This window comes from Homo sapiens, chromosome 22 (assembly GCF_000001405.40).
Source record: "Homo sapiens chromosome 22, GRCh38.p14 Primary Assembly".
Lineage (NCBI taxonomy): Eukaryota > Metazoa > Chordata > Mammalia > Primates > Hominidae > Homo > Homo sapiens.
Window position 1 is genome coordinate 48,398,255 of NC_000022.11, and position 27,231 is coordinate 48,425,485.

At 46.4% G+C, this 27,231-nt stretch overlaps 3 annotated features.

Annotated features, from left to right (window-relative positions):
- Window positions 15,998–16,536: an enhancer, noted in NCBI's record as "H3K27ac-H3K4me1 hESC enhancer chr22:48810064-48810602 (GRCh37/hg19 assembly coordinates)". NCBI's record gives its function as "activates a minimal SCP1, AML or CMV promoter by ChIP-STARR-seq in naive and primed H9 embryonic stem cells {active_cell/tissue: H9 hESC(naive and primed)}" and the evidence as "EXISTENCE:reporter gene assay evidence [ECO:0000049][PMID:30033119]".
- Window positions 16,537–17,074: an enhancer, noted in NCBI's record as "H3K27ac-H3K4me1 hESC enhancer chr22:48810603-48811140 (GRCh37/hg19 assembly coordinates)". NCBI's record gives its function as "activates a minimal SCP1, AML or CMV promoter by ChIP-STARR-seq in primed H9 embryonic stem cells {active_cell/tissue: H9 hESC(primed)}" and the evidence as "EXISTENCE:reporter gene assay evidence [ECO:0000049][PMID:30033119]".
- Window positions 25,731–26,722: an enhancer, noted in NCBI's record as "H3K4me1 hESC enhancer chr22:48819797-48820788 (GRCh37/hg19 assembly coordinates)". NCBI's record gives its function as "activates a minimal SCP1, AML or CMV promoter by ChIP-STARR-seq in primed H9 embryonic stem cells {active_cell/tissue: H9 hESC(primed)}" and the evidence as "EXISTENCE:reporter gene assay evidence [ECO:0000049][PMID:30033119]".

Consider the following 27,231-nt stretch of genomic DNA (forward strand, 5'->3'; position numbering starts at 1 on the left):
CCTGCAGTGACCTCCTCTGATCTACCCTTGACCCCCATGCCCAAGGTCACAGCTTAGCTTTGCCATCCATCCCCTCAGCTCCACCCCATCGATCTCCCCTATAAAAAATGCCCCACATTGCCAATGTCCTTGTTCAATGGTTCCCAGTAAAACTCCTCGTGGGTTTCCTGGAGCGCCATGGGGCAGACGGTTAACATAAGAAACCCTGTAGCTTCCCCTCGCTGCTCTCACCCCCTCAGTAGCTGAGACTCAAGCTCCCAAGGCTAGTTCCATTCTGGACAACCCCTAACTTCCTTCGCTCCTCTGTCTTTCTTCAAGACAAAGACCTGTCCTTGGATTTTCCAGTCGTCATACTGGAGCCAGGCGGCCTGATGGACAACATCACAAAAGCACACAATCAGTTCTCATCCTGGCGATGTGTCCACTGCCCTGGGCCACACCCCTGCCCCATCCACTCTGGCCTCTTCTGAACCTCCTGCCCACTGCTCAGCCTTGGAGTTCAGCACCTCAGCTCACCCACACGCCCAGCAGGGGCCTGGCCTTCTCCTTCACAAAACAAAGAGAAGCTTCCAGACATGGCTGCTTCTGCGTGCTGGTGTTCCAGACACCAGGCTGCTATTCATACCTGCACAATTTGATCCTCAGAGCTGTTATCCCATCTCCTAGATGCATACCTCCATCTAACCTCCTGCAAAGCATCTTTTCAGCTGGGTGTGGTGGCTCACACATGTAATCCCAGCACTTTGGGAGGCCAAGGTGGGTGGATCACGAGGTCAGGAGATCGAGACCATCCTGGCTAACATGGTGAAAACCCATCTCTACTAAAAATACAAAAAATTAGCCAGAGGTGGTGGCATGCACCTGTAGCTCAGCTGTTCGGGAGGCTGAGGCGGGAGAATCTCTTGGACCTGGGAGGCGGAGGTGGCAGTGAGCCTAGATTGCGCCACTGCTCTCCAGCCTGGGCAATAAAGCAAAACTCTGTCTCAAAAAAAAAAAAATTATTCACATTGTATTTTGGAAATGTTCATGTGTGTATAAAAAGAGAGAGAATAGGAAGATGAGCCCCCACTAACCGTCACCCAGATTTGTTTTGTTTTGTTTTGTTTTTTTGTCTCAGCCTCCCGAGTAGCTGGGATTACAGGCACACGACCACGCCTGGCTAATTTTTATAGTTTTAGTAGATGGGGTTTCTCCATGTTGATCAGGCTGGTCTCAAACTCCTGACTTCAGGTGATCCACCTGCCTCGGCCTCCCAAAGAGCTGAGATTACAGGTGTGAGCCACCACGCCCGGCCACCATCACACATATTTAACGGTTTTAAACACATGATCAATATTGTTTCAGCCACAGCCACACTCACTAATACTCCAAAATGGATTGTTTAAAAATAAATCCTAGACACACAGTAATTTTATCCAGAAGTACTTTGGTGTGTGTACCTCTAGAAAACAAGGACTTCTTTTTAGCCCAGCTATGCCATCTATGCCGAACACCTTGATCATTTCCGAAAATCATCTACAGTCCTCTCCATATTTGATAGTTCTACCCTCTCTCACACTCGTTATTTTACAGACAGTTGGTTCACCAAACCCAGATGAGGTTCACACATTTGGTTTCTATGCCTCTTAAGTTCTTTCGATCTGCAGAGGACATCTTCTGTGTGTGTGTGGTTTTGTTTGTTTTTTAGTTTTTGTTGAAGAAAGTTCATTTGTCCTATAGACATTCCCACACACTCTCAAGATTCTGCCAAATTTTACCCCTGTGGTGTTTCTAACATATTCCTCTGTCCCTGTATTTTCTTTTTTTGTTTGGTTGTTTTGTTTTGAGATGGAGTCTCACTCTGTTGCCCAGGCTGAAGTGCAGTAGTGTGATCTTAGCTCACTGCAACCTCTGCCTCACAGGTTCAAGTGATTCTCCTGCCTCAGCCTCCCTGCTAGCTGGGATTACAGGCATGAGCCACTGCACCTGGCTTTTAGTAGAGACAGGGTTTCACCATGTTGGTCAGGCTGGTCTCAAACTCCTGACCTCAGGTGATCCACCCACCTCAGCCTCCTAAAGTGCTGGGATTACAGGCGTGAGCCACCATGCCCGGCCTCTGTGTTTTCTTTAAATTAGTAACTGGATCATGGTCGGACTCCGGTTTAAATTTTGGCAAGAAGCCCTCACCAAAGAACCTTTGATGTCCTTTTGACTGTGTCCCATCCATCAGGAAGGGTATCAGAAATAACCAGCCGTTGGCCTGATGTGCCTATCACACAGTTCCCTCTGCCTCTCACTGGGTCATTTTAGCAGCTGTTGTTGAAAATTGTGTAGATGTGTCATTTCATTAAAGAGAGTGGGTGTGTGTGAGAGTGACAGAGAGAGAGGAGGAAGGAAGAGACCGGCTGGGCTCTGTCTTCCCAGCTGGGTCATGGTCTCGTTTTTTGGGATATCATCCTCCTTTGCTCAGTGTCCAGAGCCCAATGGTGGCTCCATGAACGTCCCCTGAAGAAGGAACAAAGGCGTCTGATAAGGGCTCAAAGAAAACCAAACACACAATGAATCCTCTCTAAATCACAAATAGTCACTTAAAATGCCATCTGCAGTGTTTTGCCATTTATTTATGAGTATTCAAATTCTGCCTCTTGGACGACATTGACAGAAAGCACATTTCATCTTTGTCCAGTGAGGAGAAACAGCAGTGAATCTCTTTAAGAATCCAGTGTGAGGAGTAAAAACTGGGGGCAGCGAAGGGTGGCATTCAGTGCTTCTGTGTCCTGGAAAAGCACAATTCCACCATTCAAGAGGGGCTGGGGCCTGTGGCCTCCGTAGGTACCTCTGAAACCTCAAGCAGAGTTGTCTTCGAGAGCCCCTAGCAGGAATTGATAACATAAACAATTTGCATGAAATTCCCTTGGGATCAGAAAATAACCTCCAGGCTGGGCGTGGTGGCTCACGCCTGTAATCCCAGCATTTTGGGAGGCTGAGGTGGGTGGATCACTTGAGGTCAGGAGTTCAAGACCAGCCTGGCCAACACGGTGAAATCCTGTCTCTACTAAAAATACAAATTAGCTGAGTGTGGTGGCGGGCGCCTGTAGTCCCAGCTACTCAGGAGGCTGAGGCAGGAGAATCACTTGAACTCGGGAGGTGGAGGTTGCAGTGAGCCAAGATTGCACCACTGCACTCCAGCCTGGGCGACAGAGTGAGACCCAGTACAAGAAAGAAAGAAGAAAGAAAGAAAGAAAGAAAGAAAGAAAGAAAGAAAGAAAGAAAGAAAGAAAGAAAGAAAGAAAGAAAGAAAGAAAGAAAGAGAGAGAGAGAGAGAGAGAGAAAGAAAGAAAGAAAAAAAGAAAGAAAGAAAGAAAGGAAGGAAGGAAGGAAGGAAGGAAGGAAGGAAGGAAGGAAGGAAGGAAGGAAAAGAAAGAAAGAAAAAGAAAGAAAGAAAGGAAAGAAAGAAAGAAGGAAAGAAAGAAAGAAAAAGAAAGAAAGAAAAAGAAAGAAAGAAAGAAAGAAAAAGAAAGAAGGAAAGAAAGGAAGAAAGAAAGAAAGAAAGAAAGAAAGAAAGAAAGGAAAGAACCTGCAGATTCACTGCCCCTGGGCTTGGTGGGAGAAAGCGGTCAAGGCCCCATGCCTGGATGGTCTCAGGAAACTCAGCCCAAGTCCTTGGATTGGGGAACATTTTTCCCTGTGCTCCCCATCACTGTGGGGTTCAGACTCCAATTCCACTCACCAGCCCTGCCCATGCGACCTCTGGGTGGCATCTAATTTCACATTTTTAGAAATCCTTAAGACCATTTCTCCTTCTAATAAATGTCTCTCCTAGCTTGAAATATATACAGTCCAGGGTTATTGTTTTTTAGCATCTCGTAATTAGCAATTCTTAATGAAATGAGTTTCTTAATTATGCCAGCAACATCAATTCTGATGTAAAGTGCAAAATGTTGCTTTGATTCACATTCATTGGACTTCCCCCTCCAAAAATAAATAAATCAATAAATAAACCCACAGAATTCAATTTTGTCTGGCATGTTTATCTCACTATAACATCCCATTGAAATGATGGGGAAATATCCCAATGAGGTGAATATTATATAGGACAGAAACTGGCTTTGGAGAGATCCGTGGAGGATGATATAGATCCCCAAGTCTCAGCGTCCTCAGGCCTTGGTGTCTGTGCTCAGCCACGTCTCCATTCTTGTCATTTCCAGGACAAGCCGGGCACATGCTCTGGGGAAGCGGGTTACCCTAATGACGATTGCCATTTCAAGCTCCAGAAATCTGCTCGCTTCGCCCTCCAGGGGAAAGTTGTGTTCTACAAAAACCAAGTCATTGGCTCAAGCAAAGGAAAATGGAGAAGGAGGAGTGTATCCCTCATGTCTGCCTGTGTTTCCATCACACTCCGCACGCCCTCGAGATGAGGAGGGCATCTGAATGCGGACCTGGGCTCGGTCCTCCGGGAGGGCCACGTTCACAGCCTGTGCTCCAGAGCTGGGGCACCGAGGGCAGAGACACGACCCTGGGGTGGGTCTGCAGCCCACACAGCCTGACGTGGGCATAAACCAGTCTTTGGAGGGGGGCCTCCCTCTGTCCCCGCCCTGGCACTGACTGTATGCAGGCAGCCTTCTGCCGTGAGCCATGACCACGGCCACTCACTGCCCAGGTCTGGGCACTGATGTCCGGAAGGCAGCCTTCTGCCGTGAGCCGTGACCACGGCCACTCGCTGCCCAGGTCTGGGCACTGATGTCCAGATGGCAGCCTTCTGCCATGAGCCGTGACCACGGCCACTCGCTGCCCAGGTCTGGGCACTGATGTCCGGAACATCTGAGAACAGAGAGCTTCTTTTCCTTACTGACCCCACCTGGGTCATTCCCTCAGCCCTGAACACACCTGAGGGGCCCTGGGGCACGTGCACCAACTGGACAGGTGTCATCATCTGCTCCGGCTGCCGTAACTGTCACAGACTGGGTGGCTCAAGCAGCAGAACTTTAATTTTTCACTGTGCTGGAGGCCAGAAGTCTGAGATCAAGATGTGGCCAGGGTTGGTTCCTCCTAAGGCCCCTCTCTTAGGCCTGCAGACACCATCTTCTCCCTGTGTTCTCCCTGCCACCCTTCTGGGTGTGTCCGCATCCTCATCTCCTCTTCTTACGAGGACACCAGTGGGATTGGATCAGGGCCCACTCATTATGACCTCATTTTCACTTAACCACCTCTTTGAAGACCCTCTCTCCAAACAGTCCCATGCTGGGGTGCCGGAGGTTAGGGCTTCAACATAGGATTGCAGGGGACAGGACACAGAATGTGACACCAGGCAGGCAATGTGTGTCCCTCAGGGGGCCTGGGTTCCGGGAATCTGCACCCAGATTGCACACCCCATGGAGCAGGAGCACTTCCCGACAAGAAACTTGGCACAGGTCCAATGGTTGGGGCTGGTGTCCTGCCGTCCTGGGTGGTAAAGGAATTTACCGAGACGGTCCCAGGTAAAGAAAGGCAGGTTGGTTAGAGGAAAAGTGTGTTGCAAGGGCGCAGCGGACAGCACAGCAGGGAAGGGGGTGTTTGCAAAGAGGCAGGGGCTGCAGGATTTGATGGAGTCATGCCGGAGGGGCTACCTACCGAGGAAGGTCCTTGTGGCAGCGTGCTGTTTGCAGTTAGCGTCCCTCAGAACAATCACTGTCCCCCACCTGGGTCCCCCTCCTCATTGTTGCTAACTTTTCAGGATTCCACAAAACTTTCAAGAGTTTTTATCAGAATAAGGGTGACTGGACTCCAGGCAGGAGAGATGACAAGGAGGACCTGGGCTTTCTGTGTCTAGGCTCCCAGAGCTGAGAGAAGCAGACAGAGGACAACACAGACCCCCGCATGGAGGGAGATGGAGGGTGCTCCTCCCCTAGCCAGGCAGAGAGCCAATGGCCCCACACCCACACGCAGCTCCACGGGGCCGCATCAGCCACAAACAGGCAACTCCAGATGGGATCAGATCGGGACTGAGCCAGTGCCTCTTGGGAAAGCGGAGCGCCAGGAAGGACTGAGCCCAGCCTTCATCAGAATGGTATTCTGACAGCTTACGGAAATAGAACATTCGTGCATGAGACGTGAGCTTTGGGGTAGCAAGGCCCAGGTGGGTTCTCTGCTCATCACGTAACAGCTGTGTGAGTGGGGGAAGGGGCTCACCTCCCAGGCTTGGAAAGTTGTGCCGCTTGTTATGAGTATTATATATTGTAGCTAAATTTCCAGTTCCAGCAATGGGGTAGAATAAATAAACTAAAACAATTCTTCTTAAAACATAATTCACCTAGAAAAGCAAGATAAAACATAATAAGCACATGCTTTTAACTGAATGGCTCAGCTCAAAAAAGAAAAAGTCAATGAAGGGAAAGATGCAGGAGTGAGCGGAGCGGGAGAGGAGAGAGTGGGAGAGGTGAGAGCGACCTCTCAGCGTGGGCACCCTTAGCTACTCTGCAGGGCGCTGGGGCCTCTGGTGAACCCAGGAGGGCTCTGCCTTCATCTTGGCCAGAAGATGAGCCCCTGTGACATGTGAGAGCTGAAGCAACAGAGAGTCAGATCTCCCTGACCCAGGCCCTCCGGGGACACATTTTGCCTGCCTGGTGTCACAGGCTGTGTCCTATTCCCTGCAATGCCATGTTGAATCCCTAACCTCCAGCACCCTGGGATGGGACTATGTTTGGAGAGAGGGTCTTTAAAGAGGTGATTAAGTGAAAACAAGGCCAGGGATTCCGTCAGGCTCCAGTGCGGTCCCAGTCCCAGTCCCTTGCACGCCATCCTCAGCCTTTCTCCGGACCACGGCAGCCCCACAGCTGCGTGCAGCACTCGGCCAAGGGGGTGCAGCTGAGAGGCCCTGGGGGCAAGAGCTCCCCACAGATCTCTCTCCTATTAGCTTCCCTTTACGTCCAGCAAGGGGGCTGGACACATGCGTTCCCAGGTCCATGGTCCCCTCCCAGTTCCAGCAATGTCCCTCTCAGGCCTCAACTTCCCTGGCTCCCTTCACCGTTGCAGAAAGTTGAGTTTCTATCCTGAACCTCTTCCCCCATAACACTCAGGACACTCCTGAGCCTGGGTGGACGTGCTCGGGTGCTATAATGGGAGCAAAAACGGATGCAACAGGCTGAAGAGCAGTTTGGGAGCCTCAGGTGAAGATGCTGAGACCCAGGGAGGCAGTTTCCCGGAAACAACCTAAATGCCCAGCAGCAGGTATTCGCAGAATGTGTGTTATATTTGCACGAAGCAATGCCATCAATATTTAAAATGAATTAACTCAATCTACATGAATATCTATGTACAAGCATAAAACCCAACGCGTGTTGAGCAAAATGGGCAAGTTGCAAAAGGGAAGATGACATAGTTCCATTTACAGTAAGTCTTAAAACAATGAAAATCAATAGTACATGTTGTTTATTATATACACATACATTATAGAAATACAAAGTATGAATGTGAGACACAGAAGTGAATTTTAAGAGGCAGGAAAAGGAGTTATATCAGATAAACAAAAAACGATGGCATTTAACTAAATTATAATATATTTTTTATTTTTAAAAATGCTTTGAAAGAAATAGGAAAGTGTCCCTAGCAGACCTGGATGCATGTTGTTATATTATCTTCCCATGCTTGGAATATGCTGCTAAACATTAACTTCGCATGCGTCATTCACAGCGTAATCGCAAATGCCAAGTGCCTGGCCCAGAAAAAGCACTGGGCAAGAGTTGTTTCTCATCTCTGTCATTCAATGAGCTAATCAATCACCAACTCAGCCAAATGTCGTTTTGCAATTGCCTCTGTTTTTAATTTTCCTCTTGTCATGTAGTAATTTCACATTCTTAATCTTATTTATCAATTTTAAGAGGCATGAAAGGATCCCTGTCATTTGACCCCAAACAAGGAATTTTGAGAGGGCATCCTAAGAAATTATTCAATGGAAGAGAAAAATTATACTCACAAAGATGTTCACAGTTGCACTGTGTGTAATAGAAAATAATTTCTCGGGGGAACACAACTCTGTTGTTGCATTTTATAATTTTATTTAAAAAACAAGCAGTAAGGAAAGTAGTAGGTGAACAAGAACAGTAAAATATCCAACTCTGAAAAATCTGCATCCATGTGACCAAGTCAGGCCAAAAGCCTGGAAATGGAAACCGGCAAGATTTGTCACACGGTGGAGTTATGAGTGTGGAATTAATTTTCCTTTTTCAAAATTGTCATACAACATTTTTTGCCGATATAATAATTTTAAAAAGATGTAACAAGAGGTTTTTATCAGTTAAAAATTGTTGCTGTTAAAATATGCCAACCCTTTACAAAACATTTTAATACACAATGCACTTTTTATTTTTTAAAAATTTCCAATTTACAAACATGTTGCAAAGATAGTTACAGAGAATTTCCATATACCCCACACATAGTTCCCTCTGTTATTAATCTTATAGTCACATGATGCAGTTGTCACAAGAATTGATGTAATATTTACTAACCAACAATGAGCCAATATTGATTCAATGACCCAATCGTGATACAATATGATTCTTTATTTTGAGACAGAGTCTCGCTCTGTCATCCGAGCTGGAGTGCAGTGGTATGATCTCGGCTCACTGCAACCTCTGCCCAGTGAGTTCAAGCAATCCTCCTGCCTCAGCCTCCTGCGTAGCTGGGATTACAGGTGTGTGCCACCACGCCTGGCTAATTTTTTGTATTTTTAGTAGAGATGAAGTTTTGCCATGTTGGCCAGGCTGGTATCGAATTCCTGACCTCAGGTGATCCACCCACCTCGGCCTCCCAAAGTGTTGGGATTACAAGTGAGCCACCTCGCCCGGCCGATACAATATGATTAACTAAAGTTCCTACTATATTCAGATTTCCTTATTTTTTTACCTAATGTTCATTTTCTATGCCAGGACACCATCCGTAGTACCTCATTACATGTACTCATCACATCTCCTTGGGCACATCTTGTCTCCGACAGTTTCTCAGATTTTCTTTATTTTTTGACAAACTTGACAGTTGTGAGTTGTACTGATCCGGTGTTTTGTAGAATGTCTTCCACTGGGATTTGTCTGATGTTTTCCTCATGGCTTGACAGGGGTGATGGGTTTGGAGAGGAAGACCACAGAGGTGATATGCCTTCTTGTCACCTCAGATCCAGCATATTAACATCAGTAGGCGCTGTCATCATTGGTGCGGAGCTAGATGATCTAGCTAGAAGAGTGTCCATCAGATGTCTCCACTATACAACTGTTCCTTTTCCCTCCTGCCCACACCGAACTCTTTGGCAAGAAGTCACTGTGGGAAACCCACACTTGAGGGGTTGGGGAGCTTTCTCTACATCTTTTTGAGAGTGGAGTTTCTACATAAATTATGTGGAATCATTCCGCATGAGAGATTGATCTCTTTCACCTTACTTATTTGTTAGTTTGCCTGTGTCTTTATTTGTTTAATCATGTATTTCTGCCCGTATAGACTCATCGATGTTTGCTTTACGCTTGGTTGTCATACAATACTCCTTTGTTTCTTTCATTGTTCTCATTGTTCTGGCTTTGGCCATTGGGAGCTCTTTCAGTTGGTTCTTGTTTCTCTGGAACATAGTCCCATCCTTGTTGGTTTGCTATGAGCACTTCCTTACTTTATGGCACTACAAGCTGCTCCTGGCTCATCTTGCATATTTCCTGCCCCATTCTTGGAGTCAGACATTTCTCCTGGTTCTGTTTATTAGAGAAAGGCATGAGAAACCAAATTTCAGGCATCAGGTGCAGTCATTGCTATGAGGGTACCATCGTTTCCAGGCCTCCTCATCTGAGGAGCAAGGGAATGTACATGTGTGTTCTGACCCGAGTATGTGCATGAATCCATAAATATTCTCTATGTAACCATCTATGTCTATAATGAGCTAAACCTGAGTTCTTACTGATGGCTCCAGCTCTCATCCATTGCCATGTGGATCATTAGAGCCTCTTCTCCCTGCTTCTCTCTACACCCCCACTCCAACATGGTAAAACTTAGCACCCATTTTCTGCTGCTGTTTACTTGGTTTCTCAGTTTTAGTGCACCTGTAGAGTGGTATTAGTATTGTTAACCCATACCCTTATGGGACATAACTTTATCAGTCAGAGTGCAGTGCTATGTACAGTGTCTTTTACCCTTAGTCTACAGACTCTATCCATTTCCAAAGTTACTCACATAGCTCTTTCTCTATCCATTTCCCAAAGTTACTTAAGCAGCTCCTTCTCTATCCGTTTCCCAAAGTTAGTTAAGTAGCTCCCTCTCTATCCATTTCCAAAGTTACCTATGTAGCTCTTCTATCCATTTCCAAAGTTACTTTTGTAGCTCATTCTCTATCCATTTCCCAAAGTTACCTATGTAGTTCCTTCTCTATCCATTTCCAAAGTTACTTAAGTAGCTCCTTCTCTATCCATTTCCAGTTGCTTAAGATAGCTCCTTCTTTCAGTAAGCTTCTTTCACACATTGGTAATACAGTTGAACTCTTGTTGTTGTGCTCATTCCATCCTCACATCCCTTCACCACTTAAAGTTATTTTTAAAAATAGGCTGGGCACAGTGGCTCATGCCTGTAATCCCAGCACTTTGGGAGGCCAAGGTGGGTGGATAATTGGAGGTCAGGAGTTTGAGACCAGCCTGGCCAACATGGTGAAACCCCATCTCTACTAAAATACAAAAATTAGCAGTGCGTGGTGGTGCATGCCTGTAATCCCAGCTACTTGGGAGGCTGAGACATGAGAATCACTCGCACCAGGAGGTGGAGGTTGCAGTGAGCCGAGGTTGCACTACTGCACTCCAGCCTGGGTGACAGGGTGAGATTCTTTCTCTCAAAAAATAATAATAATAATGATTTTTATTCATTAATATTCATTTCTTGTTTTGTAAAGACATGTAGGTTTTGATAAAAGCATGGTGTCATGTATTTGCTATTGCAATATCATGCAGAACAGTTCACCATCCTAAAGATGTACAATACTTCATCTTTTCAGTACTTCCTCCACGGAAGCTCTGACAACTCCTGATCTCTTCACCCATCTGTCTAGTTGCGTCTTTTCCGTTAGTCATATAATTGAAATCACGTAGTCTGTTACCACTTCAGACTGACTTCTTCAACTGAGCAATATACATTTAAGTTTCTTTTGTGTGTTTTTTGTGGCTTGATGGCTCATTTATTTTTATTGCTGAATAATATTTCATTGTACAATGTAACAGGATTTGTTTATCCATTCACCTACCAAAGGGTATCTTGGTTGCTCTCAGCTTTTGATGATTATGGAGAAAGCTGCTATAAACATTCATGTGAAGTTTTTTTTTTTTTTGCATGTGAACATATGTTTTGAAATCAGGTAATATCTAAGAGGATGATTGCCAGATTGTATGTTAAGACCATATGTAACTTTTTAAGAAATAGCCAACTTGTCTTTTAAAGTGACTGGATCATTTTGCATTCCCTTCAGCAAAACATGAGTGTTTCTGTTTCTCCACATCCTCATCAATATTTGGTAATGTCAGTGTTTAGGATTTTAGCCATTCTAATAGGTGTGTGTGGTAACTTATTATTGCTTTAATTTTAAATTATTTAATAAAAAATGATTGCGAGCATTTTATATGATTATTTCCCACCTGTATATGTTCTTTAATGAGATAGCTGTTCAGGACTTTTGCCCATTTTTTTAAATTGGAAACTTAGTTGGCATTTTACAATTTGCATTTTCTCATTGTTGAGTTTTACAAGTTATTTGTATAATTTAGATACAATTTACTTATCAGATATATGATTTGTAAATGTTTTCTTCTATTTAGTAATTTATCTTTTTCATTCTTTTACAGAGCAAAAGCATTTAATTTTAATGATCCAACTTACCAATGTTTTTTCATAAATGATGCTTTTGGTGTTTTATTTAAAAATGTATCACCAAAGTTAAGGTCAAATATATTTTCACCTACGTTTTCTTCTAGAAATTTTATAATTTGCATTTTACATGTTTGTCTATTATTCTTTTGAGTCAAATTTTGTGTAAGATGTGAAATTTGTACCTGGATTCTTTTTTTTCCCCCATTAAATTGCCTTCAATGCCTTTGTCAAAAATCAGTTGACTATATTTGTATGGGTCTACGTATGGACTCTACATTCTGTCCACTGATCTATTATTTTTCCAAATCTGCTTTTATTTCCGTAGCTTTATAATAATTCTTGAAATTGGGCAATGTGATTCTGCCAACTTTTTTTTCTTCAGTATGATTTTGACTATTTTATGTCTTTTGCATTTCTATGTAAATTTTGGAATCAAATTTGTTAATTTCTACAAAATATATTGCTACTATTGAACTACTACTACGTTCTTCGAACACGCTTCTGTCCCACCCTGACTGACGGATACAGATCTTTCTGGCCCCTGTCCCCTACTTTCTTCTCCAGTGGCAGACTCCCCAGTCTCTTTCCTGGAATCACTGTACCACACTGGTGATGATTCTCCCTGCCAGGGTCAGACAAGAAGGCTGAACAGGGCTGGGGTGAGGAGAAATGGCTGTCCTCTGCCCAGACAAAGATTCAGAATTGCCTTTGGCAAAGTCCTTGCCCCAGAGCGGGCCTTCATTGTGGAGAAAGCTCTGGGGAGGTATTTCTCCATGATCAGTCTTTCCTTCCCCTGTTCATAATGCAAGGGGATCTTTCTCTGATCCTCACTGTGAGAACCCAATGGGGTTTCTGCAGGGAAGGAGGGTAAAGATGTGGGGGTCCCCAGGACTGCAGCTCGTAGGAGTTCCTCCCTCTCAGCCAGCCCACACCTGTCTCCAGCAATCTGTCAAAATTGCCATTCATGTGGTCCTACTGGCTGATGGCTTCAGGGCCATAAGCTCAGGTAAGCAAATCTGAGCTGTGTCTCTCTGATGTCTCCAGCTCTCCAGATTCTGCCCTGTGATCTCCATTTTCTGATGAGTCCTGAAAAGCTGTTGATTTTTAGATTGTTCAGGTTTTCTCATAAGGAGGAATGACAAGTCCCTGCCAGGCTCAGGGGATTCAGAAATGTCAGGATCTATGCCCTCATGAAGGTTTCTTCAGAAGGAGAGAGGGTAAGATGGAGAAGGAGCACTCGCTTGTGTAGTGCATTGCTCTAGGCATGAGCTACCCGTGCAGTTCTACTCCACCATGGACAAGAGTTGCCTTAACCTGGGCCTGCCTTGTGGGTGCGGAAAGCTTTCTGGTGGGTTCAAGTTTCAGCTGAAGGTTGAGGTCTTGTAGGCTAAGGACTCACTTGTCACCCCAACATGTAAAAGCAGGGAGGAAGGAAATTATTCCAAGTGGAGGGGATCATAGTCAGGAACATCTTGTTGGTGCTGTGAGATGCTAGAAATGTACACAAAGGCTCTGTTACAGAGAGAGGGGTTCTGCAAAGGCAAAAGCAAGTCACTTGGGTGCTTCGGTCTTCCTTCATTTCACAAATGTCTTAGGTGCCTTCCACACTGGCCTCGTGGTGGGGGCTCAGCAGTGCTTCTCAGAAGCCTAATTGGTCTGCTCTGGTTGTTTGGATGAATCTTTTGATTCAACAGTCCCTTTAGGGAAGTGTTTTTTGTTTTTGTTTTTGTTTTTATTTTAGGCGGAGTTTAACTCCTGTTGCCCAGGCTGCAGTGCAATGGTGCAATCTTGGCTCACTGCAACCTCCACCTCCTGGATTCAAGTGATTCTCCTGCCTTAGTCTCCTGAGTAGCTGGGACTACGGGCGCCCGCCACCACTCATGGCTAATTTTTTTTTTTATTTTTTATTTTTAGTGGAGATGGGGTTTCACCACGTTGGCCAGGCTGGTCTTGAACTCCTGACCTCAGGCAATCCACTCGCCTCGGCCTCCCAAAGTGCTGGCATTACAGGCGTGAGCCACCAAGCCCGGCTGTTGCTTTGTATTGTTTTGTTTTTAATTTTACAAGCAATTCATTCTGTGTATTTTTAAAATTAATTTCTGGTTTAATGCATTAGAATAACTGTTATTTTTGTGGTCTAACATATAATCTCTATTTTGCATATGTTTCATAGCAACTTGAAAGGATAAAATAATAATTCATGCAATACAATATTTGATAGAGATGCTTTCATGTAACGTTTTTAGTTAAACTATTCAAATTCATTAGGTCCTTAATGTATACATTGTCTATTTGATCAAAGCCTGGGAGAAACATAATCTCCTATAAATGGATTTCTGCCCACTTATATCTACATTTCTAAAAGTATTTTTAGTATATTTAGATGTTGGCATTTAGCACAAAATGTTCGAGACTGATACAGCCTTGTTGAACAATATCCTTTCTTTCCAAAAAATAATGTTTCTCTTTTTTCGTTAAATGATGGTTGCCTTGCATTTGGCCTTTGTTGTAAATGACTATTTCAAGCCTTCCTTTCTTTTCCTTTGCTTTTCTCCACAAGCTTCTCCTGGAGTTTCCTCCTGAACCTCCAGCTGTTGTGTGGTGGATGCATTTTGTGGTCACTAAAACCGGGGCTTCCATTCTGGCTGAGCTACTTCAGAGACTCGTGGTTGGAGGAACGTCACTTCATTCTCCAAGCCTGTTTCTTTACTTATAAGATGGGGGCAATAATTGCTATACATAAGGTTGAATTAAATGAGCGAATGAATTTAGGGTCCGTCTGTGAACAGTTACTGACTGAGTGATTCAGTGGTGAATAGCACACTCACACACAGTCTTCCAGGAATTTGCAACCCCGCAAGCGGGCTGAAAGACTGGCATCAAGCACATAGTTGAAATATTGTATACAATGTCTCAAGCACGTAGTTGCAAATGTTGTAATCAATGTCTCATGTGCAAGGTGCCATCTGTAAAAACTAAGAGGTCTCAGGAGAGCTTGTGAGAGAAGTCCAATCAGAAAGGCTTTGAGGAGGCCGGGCGCGGTGGCTCATGCCCATAATCCGAGCACTTTGGGAGGCCGAGACGGGCAGATCTCGAGGTCAGGAGATAGAAACCATCCTGGCTAACACGGTGAAACTCCGTCTCTACTAAAAATAAAAAAAAAAATTAGCCTGGCGTGGTGGCGGGCGCCTGTAGTCCCAGCTACTCCGGAGGCTGAGGCAGGAGAATGGCGTGAACCCAGGAGGTGAAGCTTGGAGTGAGCCGAGATCGCGCCACTGCACTCCAGCCTGGGCGACAGAGCGAGACTCAGTCTCAAAAAAAAAAAAAAAAGAAAGAAAGGCTTTGAGGAAACGTACCATGCTTCACACAGTAAATCGTGGTACATGGTAACTTTTTCGTTATCGAAACTATCATTAAAATAGCATTTTGTTTTCTGTATGCTTCTTATAAATGGGCCTTATGGTTTACCCTAATCTGCTAATCTTTGTCACGGAATAGGAGAGTTTAACTTATTAATGTTTATTGTCATAAAGTAATATTTTTGTCTTTCTTCCGTCATTAAAAGACAAAGGGCATATTGAGAAAAACATCAGCAACAACTCTGGCAAAGCCTTAATATCCTCCACGTTTAAGGAGCATTTATCCACCACCAGGAGACAAATGGTTTGAATGGGTAAGTCACAGAAGTTCTAAACATGTGAAAAACATTCAGCCTCACAGAGATTTTAAAATGCGAATAGGAGCAATTATGAAAGTTTTTTCACCTTTCAAATTGGCAGTTTAGCAAGACAATATTTGATGTTGGGAAGAGTGAAGTGAAATGGTGATATTTTTTGCTGCTGGTGGAAATAGAAACCTGAATTGCCTCTCAAAAGGAATGTGGTGATCTAAGAGACGAGAGTTAGGAGTTTACACTCCTTAATACCATCACGCTTCCAAAAACCATCCTCAGAGTAGCTCAGAGATGCAGGCAGAGATGTTCACGCAAGGATGTTCACCGCAGCTTTCACAAATGAGCTCTCAGCCACCTGAAGGAATCTGGCCGGGAGAAACAGCCCAGCACAGCCCAGCCTTTCATAGGGATATTTAGCTAAATATTAGGGACCTCCTTCTTCCTGCCGGACACCAGTTTCTAAAAAGTGTATATAGATTTGCAAGTAAAAGATTCGGAATTCTGAGGGAATTTGCTCAGGAGATTATAGATACCTGCTTTCTACTGAAGAATGCATTCAGTAATGATCAGATACGAATTATCCCCAGTTTCCTTTTCTAAACCAGTGAACACTTACAGAGGCCCACACGGAGCTGAGGGCTCCCCAGCACCCCCCACCCCCCGCCCTTTTTGGGAGAGGAGTTTCTCTAAGGTCAAGAGCTGTGGGCCATGCTCTTGGCTCCTGCCCTGGGTGAAATCTTCATCCTTCCCAAAAATGATCATTGATTTCTCCTTTAGGACAATCAGAGGCAGTCCCAGTCCTGCCCTCATGTGAGGCCGGCAACTTCAGAGCATCCCCGCTACCCGCCACTGGCCCAAAGTAGGGCAGTCCTCCTTCGTGGGCGGGGGTCCCAGTCCTAGCCCATTTCAGCTGGGCAGCACACTGATTTCTGCCAGGTGGCCCTCAACATGTTCTCTGCCCACAGCCTTTTCCTTCACTTCCATGAGGTCCCTGGAGGCACAGGACAGACCCGCAAACAGGAAGAGCAGTGGGGCAGGCCACAGGCTGGCACCCAGCACCCAGCCCAGGTGAGGCTCCTCCACCCCCAGTGGGGCAGGCCACAGGCTGGCACCCAGCACCCAGCACCCAGCACCCAGTCCAGGTGAGGCTTCTCCACCCTGGCCATAGTCCTGGGCAAGGCTTTGTGTGTCTGAGGATTCTAAATTCAAACCTCAGCTTCCAGGCGGCTATGGTGGCACATCCATCAAGGTTGGTGATCAGAACACAACACGCCCAGTAGATTCCTAGCTCAGATGTTCAGACATATACATGTGGGCCTCTTTTCCTCTTTGTGGGCCTCTTTTCCTCTTTGTGGGCCTCTTTTCCTCTTTGTGGGCCTCTTTTCCTCTTTGTGGGCCTCTTTTCCTCTTTGTGGGCCTCTTTTCCTCTTTTTGTCCTTTTTCATCAGGTCCCAAAACTGTCACAGCCAGATCTGCAAGAGCTGCCCCTTAATGTGAGACATGGCATCCAAGCATTCTTTATGACATCGTCTAAGATCAAAATATATAACAATTAAAAGTCCTCTCCTATGTCTTTTTATAAATACTTTCCAAATTGTCTAAAAGAATATATTGTTTTTCATGCTCTATATTTCAGCAGGCGAGTTCTATTTAAACGAAGAAAGAAAGCACATTCCAGATCCTTTTGTTCATCCAGAGACTTCAGGTAAAAATTGAGGCAATTAAATTATGCATCCTGGCGGCTTTCTCTCACCGTCAGCACGAGTCGAGATTTTTTTTTTTTTGAGAAGTAAAACATGAAATTCAAAATGTATCTCGAGTCACAGCACGATGGTTTACCAGATGAGTCAAGAGGAAGACCTCCCTCCGTTCTGTCATCAGGGCTGCCTGAGGAGGGCACCAGCCGGTTCTCCAGCAGTCAGGTCTGACAGGCTGGCAGCCTTCATGCCATCCCCTCGGCCAGAGGCTCAGACGCGTGCAAGAATCACGTGGACAAGGAGGGCCGGTACTGGTGGGCCTTGAACGCCAGGCTAAGCCATTTGAATTCAATTTTGTGTCCAATTAGTTGGCTTGCTGTCTCTCAGGAAACTGCAAGGACTTTCACAAAATGCAGTTTGATACGCAAATTTATGTTTTTACACGAAGTGGTTTGGTTGCCTACATATATATTTATATATACTTATTATTTAATATTATATGTATTATTTATATATATATATATATATTGCATTTTAAAAATATCGTCCTTATGTCCCTTAAACTGAAAGCGTAGGTTGGGACTCAAGCCAGGGAACCTTCGCAGCTCACCTGGGTTTCTCTTCCCACTCTTGTGTTTTCAGGGCAGCGTTTATACAACTATTTGCTGAACTGATTAGGTGTGAATTCCAAGCTGATAGCTCTTCATCACTTAGCATTACAAAACTGTATCAAAGCCCCATGTATAAACGTGTTTTTGCACTTTCCTTCATCTTTTTTCATACTTTCTTGCCCCAAGAAAAACTTTTTATCACCTCCCTAAGGAATTTAATAGCTGTGAATTACAAACCCAACAGCTATCACAACTTTCTTAACATTTACTAAGAAGCCAGAGTTGATTGTTTTTCCTTCTGTAAATTCAACGTCAAATGCTTACAAAGTCGAGCACCAGTAAATATGGAGGCTTCAAATGAGAAGCTTCATCCTTAGGAACAGCCAGGATATAGGAGACTTTCATTTTCAAAGTGAGTTCATTGTGTGTGTCTACGGAGGTGTGTCCCAAAACCTCTAAAACCCACAATGCAACAATTAAGCTGTGCTCTCTCTCTTCCACCCTTCAAAAACACCATTTGACTTACGACTTTGTGTCACCACTACTTGTAGAACTGAGCAAACAGGAAACACAAGCCTTGTCTTCACATACGCTCACACAGTCTGCGGCGAGCACACCATACAGAAATTCAGGATTTTATTAGGGAAAGCTGGAGACAGGGCAGTTGCTTTGTTTTCTCATCACAGACACGTCTGGATTCCCAGTTCATGTCGACTTAAATTCCAGCCTAATGAAGGTGTGGACATCCGAGCCGGGCACCCATCCTCTCATTCATCAGACAAACCTCCAGCCAGCACCTCTGACAGGTTTTCAGCAGTGTCTCCGAATAAATGTTGAAAACAACAACTTCCTAACAAGCAGTAAGCCGGTTGGGCTGACTGCATTAATCTATTAGCAATTAGATGATTGCCATCTGCAGTCTGTGCTGTTGTCTGGAGTTGAATAAAGTCAAGGCACACGTGTCGACATGGTCAGGGAACTCCCTGCTATTTTCAACATGCTCCTTGAAGCCCAGCCTGAGAACTGCTGTCCTTTCCTGTAGCCTGGTATCTGTGGACAGTGAACAGTCAACGCGTGAGCTAATAAGCATATCACCAGCCTTGGGACACTCAGCAGGATAGTGGCAGAGATGAACTCCTTGAGCTAGGACCAAGCAAAGCGCAGCTCCCTTCCCGATGGCTGGGCCAGAGGCAGCTGCTGTGACTCTTGGGAAAAGTTTGAACCACACCCCTGAAGAGCCCTCCACTCAGGACTGGGAAGGGCATGCACGAGGGGCTGAAGGGGGCTCCCTGTGGCCATGGCAGAGCCCTTGGGCAGCTGAGGCCCGCAGCCTCCCTGGCCTCATCGCCCATAGCCCCTCCTGTGGCTTCTGATGGAATCTGCAGGGGAGGGGCGCTGAGGGCGGGTGGCCCACTCCATCGAGTTAATGCACACAGCAGCCAGCAAAGGGCCACATCCATCGTGCAGGCGCAGACACCGAGCAGAGCCCCAGGAATCAATTACCAGGAGGCCGCAGAGGCTCACTGGGGGCTGGCTCTGGCCACAGACCATCATGCACCATCCCATTTAATTCTCAGCAGCCAGTGAAGGGTCCATGTGACCCTGCCTTTGATGGTCAGCGCCTCCAGGGGTGGGAGGCTGAGCCTCTGCCCAAAGCGGCTCAGCTCACCCCGGCAGCTGGAGGTGGGCCCAGTCTCCTGAGGCTGAGGCCCATTCCCCCTGCTCTGCTTCCTGCCTCCCCCAAAGAAGACATCTCTGCAGGAGGCTTGCAGCCCACCTTCGAGGGCAGAGCCTGGGAGCCCGTCCTCCGGGGGACTGGAGCAGGACTCGCTCCGGGCACCCTTCCTCCTGGGCTTCTTTCCACCGTGCTATGTTCCCGGCTCACTGAGGCCGGTGGTCCCTGTCTCTGAGTTTATCAGTGGCCATGTGCAAATATGGGCCATGGTGACTGGGCTTACAAAGCCAAGGTGTTTAACCTGGGCTGGCAAATCGGGAGGGAGAGGGGTAAAAGTGTCATTCAGTAAAGAAGGCCAAATAAGGATGGGGGATTTGAGCTGATTTCCAACTGCAAATAGGCATCAAATCCAGGGGCGACATAAGGGAGAGGAGTTCCAAGACTGAGGTGGTTCTAGGGTGTGGGATCTGTGGCCAGTGGTGTGCTACAGAATCAACCGGGCCAACATGTTAAGTCCCCGACATGCCCCTAGCACACTAGTTTGGGTATATTCATAGGTGCTATTTTTAAAAAATTAGTACATGATGAGTTGAACAGTTAAACTGACTTTTTAAATTGCAGAATGTCTTGGAGCTCTTGCAATACTAGTGTGCACAGTCATCTCTAAGAAAGGGGCATTGCCTGCTCTGATTCACAAACTTATTAGGCCAGGAACCCTGCTTTCTGGTGTCTCCTGTGGGATGCTTCTGGAAGATACCGAATGAGGTCTTATCTCTCCACTATGAAGCGATGCGGTGTCAGGGGAGACTCCTCATTGGACAGTCCCAAGTCAAATCCTTTATCCTCACACAACTGACTATATGATCATGAACTCTGGATCAGCAGTTCCTCCTCGGGGGAAAAACCATAGTATCTGTTTGGCAAGCTTGAGGTCAGACTTGAGGATGTGCACACAGCACGTCATGAGTCCTCCAGGGACGGCACCGTCCACCTGGGCTCACTGAGCAAGAGATGGAATGGTACAATTATCCATCTGAAGGCAGGGTCCCTCTCCATCCCTAAATTCTGGCTAAACACTTTTAACTCAATACCTACTTCTGCTCTTTTTATTCTAAAAGGATTGTGAGCCAGGGGAGAAGTAAATTTACCCAGCAGATACTAGGAGTCCGTTAGATGAAATGTCAATTATTTGATAAACCCCTTGAATGAATCTGAGGGCTGCCCTCTGCACTCACCAGCAAGCTCCCTGAGGACTGGGTAACCCCTGTACCAGGCCCCGAGGAATCCGGGCTCCAGGCCTCGGTGTTGGGGGAACGGCCTCGCCAGCAGGTATCAACACGGAGGAGCAGAGATATTTCCATGGCGCGTCAGAGGATTTTTTTTTTTTTTGCAGGAAATAAATCTTCAGAAGTGAGAATTCTAATTGAGCCGAGTTCAGGATAGCCAAGTGTAATTTTAGCAACAAAAGTAGAGGGTTCCAGAAAAAGCATCTCAGGAACAGTCAAATTAAGCTGCAGGGAGATAATTGGATGGAAGGTTTGGTTAGGCAGCGCTTTGAGTGTTGAAGGGAAAAAAGAATCTTTGGGCAGGAGGAAGTGATGTCTTCTATTGTAAGGATGGGAAGGGATACGGAAGAGGCACATACTGAACGTTTGAGGCTTGGGGAACTTTTATTCGAAGTTTTAAGAGTCTCAGCTGAAAATTATCTGTGAAAATGTGATCCACTTAAACCTGCCTAGTGACAAGGTCTGCATCTTAAAAGTTCTCATTTTGACATAACTATTCCTGCTCCCAGCTCAGATCCCAGAACTTGCCTAAGGGACAGGACCCCCTCCTTCCCTGCTGAGCAAACTCCCTCCTCCCAACAGCCGTGACCCAGGGCCCTGCCATTTGTCCTCAGTCACCTGGATGGCCCTAGGGAGGCCTTGAACTGACCAGAATGACTCCATCCCTTCACCTCATCCCCCCGTACCCAACAAAGTGCCTGACATGCAGTAAACTCTCAAGAACATTTAATAAATAAGGGGCATCATTCTCATCACAATAATATAATAAATAATAATAAATAATAATTTTGTATTAATCAGGTTTTTGTCCAAGGAATTCGAAGAGACATTTTATTTCTCTTTACCTAGTTCTGCTGTTCTTATTTTAAGGTGGGTGGGGTTGGAGGAAGAAGAAAATGTACGTACACAGACTGTAAGTCCATTTGGTAAAATGCCTACTATTGAATAAACTCCTTGGAAGCAAGCTGGCGTTCTGAACCCAAGGGTTTCGATGTTCTATCTAGAGTCATGTCAACTAAACAAATGCTTGATCCATGGTACATTCGCTTCCTAGGGCTGCCATTAAAACTTACCACGACCTGCGTAGTTCCAGAAGCCAGAAGTCCAAAATCCAGGTGGCAGCACGTTGGTTCCATCCAGACACTCTGAGAGGCTGTGTTCCGGGCCTCTCTCCCAGCTTTCTGTGGTAGCCAGCACTCCGTGGCACTCCTTGGCTTGTAGATGGTGTCCTCTTCCATCTCCATGTGACCTCTGGTGTCCTCTTCCATCTCCATGTGACCTCCTTTTCTTTCTGTGTCTTCTCCCTTCTCCTCTTCTGTCTCTCATAAGGATGCTTGTCACTGGATTCAGGGCCCATTTGGATAATCCAGGATGACCTCACCTCAAGATCTTTAATTTCTTAGCATCTGCATGGACCCCTTTCCAAATAGGGCCATATTTACAGGAGGAGCAGGTGGACAGATTTTGGGGCTCCACCATTCAACCCAAACCCATGGCTGAATTGCTCACCAGCTAAACCATGATTCAACAAGACAATCAGAAGGAGGGTCCAGGGGAGCCTCATGTCACAGCTCCACACTCATTGTTGAGACGACAGCCCTCAGGGACTAGAAAGCCTGCATTATGGCATTTGACAGAGACATAGGATTTCATTATTTCAAGCTCCCTGGAGTAGATCCAACAAGGCCCAGAGACCGCTCCTCCTGACGTGTGACATGTCATGGTTCATGGTGTCTTTCCATGCTGAGAGGGGGTGTCACCACAGCTGCAGAGGAAACCTTTGCCCGTGGACCACAGGGAAGTGCCAGAGGATGTTATCTGCCCTGCGATTCCCCCAGTGAAGCATCACTGTTGAGAAGTTTTCAGAACTGACTGTGAAGCAAGGATTCACTTTTCTTACCATACTGGTGTGTTTCTCCTAGTGTACAGGAAGGACGTGTTACTGGCTGAATTTGCTTTTTCCAGTAAGATGCTTAGTGCTGGCCGGGTGTGGTGGCTCATGCCTGTAATCCCAGCACTTTGGGAGGCCGAGGCAGGTGATCACCTGAGGTCAGGAGTTTGAGACCAGCCTGGACAACATGGTGTCAGCACATTGGTTCCATCCAGTCTCTACTAAAAATACAAACTACAAAAATACAAAAATTAGCTGGGCATGGTAGCACACGCCTGTAGTCCCAACTACTCGGGAGGCTGAGGCAGGAGAATCGCTTGAACCCAGAAGGCGGAGGTTGCAGTGAGCCAAGATCGTGCCACTGCACTCCAGCCTGGGTGACAGAGTGAGACTCCGTCTCAAAAAAAAAAGAAAAAAAAAAAATGCAGCTCAGTGCTGTATGTGAGTCTCCCATTTGATGCCGATCCAGGATCCAAGTCCTAAATATTTTCTTTCCCATCTTCCCATGGTCTGACCTCTAATTCTGACATTTTTCCAGATCCTAACACATGATTATTTTGTTATACTTTTTCTTCTAAATGATTTCAGGTATTCTTGTGGAATGAATGAAAGGTTGGCTGGATGGATCAGTGCAGGATTATGTGGATAGATGGATGGGTGAAGGATTATGGTGGATAGATGGTTGAGTGGCTTATGGTTGGGTAGATGGGTGGATGATGGATGTACAGATATAAGGGTTGATATGGGTGAATGGATTAGTGGATGAGTGGGTAGGTGGGTGAATGAACAGATAGGTAAATGGATGTAGAGATGGATAGATGGATGGGTGGGTTAGTGGATGGGTGAACAGATTGGTGGGTGAGTAGGTAGGTGGATGAATGAGTGGATGGGTGAACGGATGTAGAGATGGATAGATGGATGGGTGGGTTAGTGGATGGGTGAATGGATTGGTGGATGAGTGGGTAGGTGGGTGAAGGAGTGGATGGGTACATGGATGTATAGATGGAGAGATGGATGGGTGGGTTAGTAGATGAGTAAATGTGTAGAAGGAGGGGTGAGTGATGGAAGGAGTAAAGTGGTGGTAAGGTAGATGGCTGGATATTTGGATGTTTGGATAGTTGGGTGGATGGCTAGTTTCCAGAAAGAGGGTACTTTAAAACCATATGGACATCTGATTCCATTTTAATGACTATAAATATTTAAAATAGAATTATAACTGTTGGTCAAGATTTATCAAACTGTTCAACTTACCATAATTCTTTGATTTTTTTACATAATTCAAATACGTCATTTTATTTTCATTTTTGTTTTACCGACATTAATTTTGTGGGAATCAATTACTTTGGTTTGAATTTTACAAGTATTCAACAACAATCGGTGTGGTCATACAAATCTTCTGCGATTATACCAATGATAAACACTGTACATTTTCTTTTTAGGTGCATTCTTTCTACACAGTTTAAAATTTCCAAGTTAAATTTTGCATATTTAAAGTTTTCAAAAATGATAAGAATACATTTTACTGTGTGAAGCTTATTGCCTGACACATTTATTTTGTGTTACTTCTACCAGCAATATCATCATAAAATAAATGAAATATGCCTCTCTTAGTTCTTTTCTTTTTCTTTTTTTTTTTTTTCTGTGACAGAGTCTCACTCTGTCACCCAGGCTAGAGTGCAGTGGCGCAATCTTGGCTCACTGCAAACTCTGTCTCCTGGGCTCAAACGATTCTCCTGCCTCAGCCTCCCAAGTAGCTGGGATTACAGGTGTGCAACCATCACGACTGACTAATTTTTGTATTTTCGGAAGAGACAGGGGTTTCACCATGTTGGACAGGCTGGTCTTGAATTCCTGACCTCAAATGATCCATCTGCCTTGGCCTCCCAAAGTGTTGGGATTACAATCGTGAGCCACCGTACCCGGCGTGTCTCTTATTTCAAAAGAAAGTTGTGAGAAATTTCTCTCTGATTTCCAGAGTTACTCTTTGGTTCAGGATCTATTTACCTTCCTGCCAGTGTTTGGGTTTTTTTTTTTTTTTTTGCTTACTTGTTTGTTGTTGTGTTTGAGGGGGTTTTGGAAGACCAAGAAGGGAACAGAGGAGTTAAACAGCAGAGTTGGCACAGCAGGGCCAGGCTGGCTGGGCAAGGGTTCCTCTGGAGTGAGTCCCCTGGGGCTCGTCTCTGCAAAGCCCCAGGGCTGACTGTGAAGGGAGGAGTGAGGTGCTTATTTCTTAGAGGGACAGACAGCAAACGTGGTCAGCTTCGGGACAACATGGTCTTTGTCACTACTACTCAGCTCTGCCTTTGTAGCTCCAAAGCAGCTGTAGATAGATGGGGAGGGGCTGTGTGTCAATAAAACTTTATTTATAAAACCGGGCAGAGGGCCAGACTCAGCCCACAGGTCATGCTATGCAGGTCCCTGCTCTAGAGGGTCCTCGAGGGTCACCCGTGGAGCTTGTGAAATGAGGTCACATGTCACAGTCACTTTCTGAAGAGGAAAGAAAGGGTCGACAGAATACATGCATACATCCACACATGTAGCAGCATGTCTGTCTCCAGGGACCATGAGACAGAAGCAAGGACCGCCAGGAAGGCCAGCATGCTCCTGCAGCCTCACTGTCTCCTGCCCCGTGCTGCTTGCAGCCTTCATGATTATTAATGCCAAGTGGACAGCCCTCACGGCAGAGACGCCGCCTGGGGCTGCAGCCAGGGACAGCAGAGTGCCTGGGCACTTCAGTTGGAGTGGATAATGGAACAAGTGAAAAGAATGAAAATGTATCTTCCTCTTATTTTTCAGCCCTGTCCGGGATTAAAAAGCACTCTGGTGTGCAGCCTCTGATTCATAGCTTGGCTATTCTTTGGTGGAGTTCCCTAAATATTTTGTAGCCAGCTTTGACTTGGAAATGCAGCCTTTGAAATATCTTTACTTGACCGAGAGGCCCCTAGTGACATTAAAATAATGATTATCACATATTTTGCATTTCGTTAAAAAGAGTATTGGAATAATACCACACGCATCGGTCTCACCAATGAAGGTGATTTAGGAGCAGGGCTTTGATTTGGAATGGATGGCGGCGGGGCCTCCCTCCACCTCCCATAAAAGGCCTGAGAAGAAGGAGGACTTCATCTTTACACACGGCTCTTCTGTCTGGAGGGAGCCTTATTTCTCCTTTATGCACTTTCAGGAACTCTGCTGTTTGCTGAATTTATGAAGTGGAGAGAAGGGACCTCGCTGTGCCTGCAGCCATGTGACCCTCGGAGCTTCCCTCTGCTGCAGGACCAGGGCACTCGACACTGACACCCTCCATTGCCGAGAGTGTCTCCGGATGGGACGTGAAGGCAGGCGACAACTGTGATCTTCCTTTATGATTGCAGTCCCCCATCCGCTCACGGACGCTTGACGCTTTCTTGAGCACCTGGATGCGGCAGTGACACTTCCAGGCAGGTGCTGTTGGAGCAAATAAGCAGGTCCAAATCCCCGCCCGGAGCTGCTGCCCATGCCGGGGGAGACACTCAGGACACAGACTGGCAGATAACCTGCGCTGAGGGACTGGAGGATGGGAAGGGCTCGCTGGGGGAGGTGTACAGCAAGATGGGCCGGGACCCCGGGGGCAGGAGTGCAGTCGTCAGTAGGACAGCCAAGGCATCCCTAGAAGCTGGCACTTGGACCAAGCCAGAAGGGAGTGAGGGGTACAGGCAGGCTGACCGCAGGGGCAAGAAAGCAAGCGCCAGGGTCCTGAGGCAGGATAGGGAGTGGTGGGTGCCCTGGAGTGGTAAGGATGAGGACAGAGAAGTGGCAGGCCCGTGAGCATTGCTGAGACCTCTCAGGTCCTCAGGGAGAGGCAGGGGCCAGGGAAGGCCTTGGGGCTGACAAGCACAAGACCCACCTCTCTTGACTCCCTGGAGGAGCCCACCAGGAGGAGAGAATCTGAGGCAGCCCCATTCCACCCACACGCCCACCCCCTCCAGCTGACTGCTCTAGCCAGACTGAACTTCTTCCAGCTTCCTGAATGTTCTCTCCACCGGGGCCCATGGGCTTCCCTCCTTTCACCCAGTGACTTGCTCTTCTAGAGGCCAGAGGAGCCTCACAAGGGATGAGCTTGCTGGGCATGGACATCCACCGGCTGCACGCAGCAGGGACAGGTGAGCCGCTCTTCCGGGAGCCCAGGCCTCCCTGTGTGCACTCTGCCAGGCCCGGCTGCTCCTCCAGGATCGGGGAGCGCAAGATCCACTCTCATGGGCTCAGGACCAAGTGGGTCCCCAGGCAGCTCTCAGGGTCACTGAGGCTTCCTCCGATCCCGTCACCGTATCCCCAACACCCCAAACGTGTGCCTCGGGCCAGAGACCTGCTTGGACCAGCCCAGCAGGAGAGCAGAGGACGTGGGGCTGACAGCCTGGTTCTGGTCCAGTGGGGGACAGCCTGGAGTGCTCGCTGAGGAGGCAGAGATGACCCTGAGGGTCCTGGGGAGATGTTGCCATGCCCAGAGGGACCCGGACAGGAGGGAGGCACTGGGTGTGTTTCCTCCCGCATCGGCCCCGGGCCGTCAGGGGTTCAGAGAGGTCA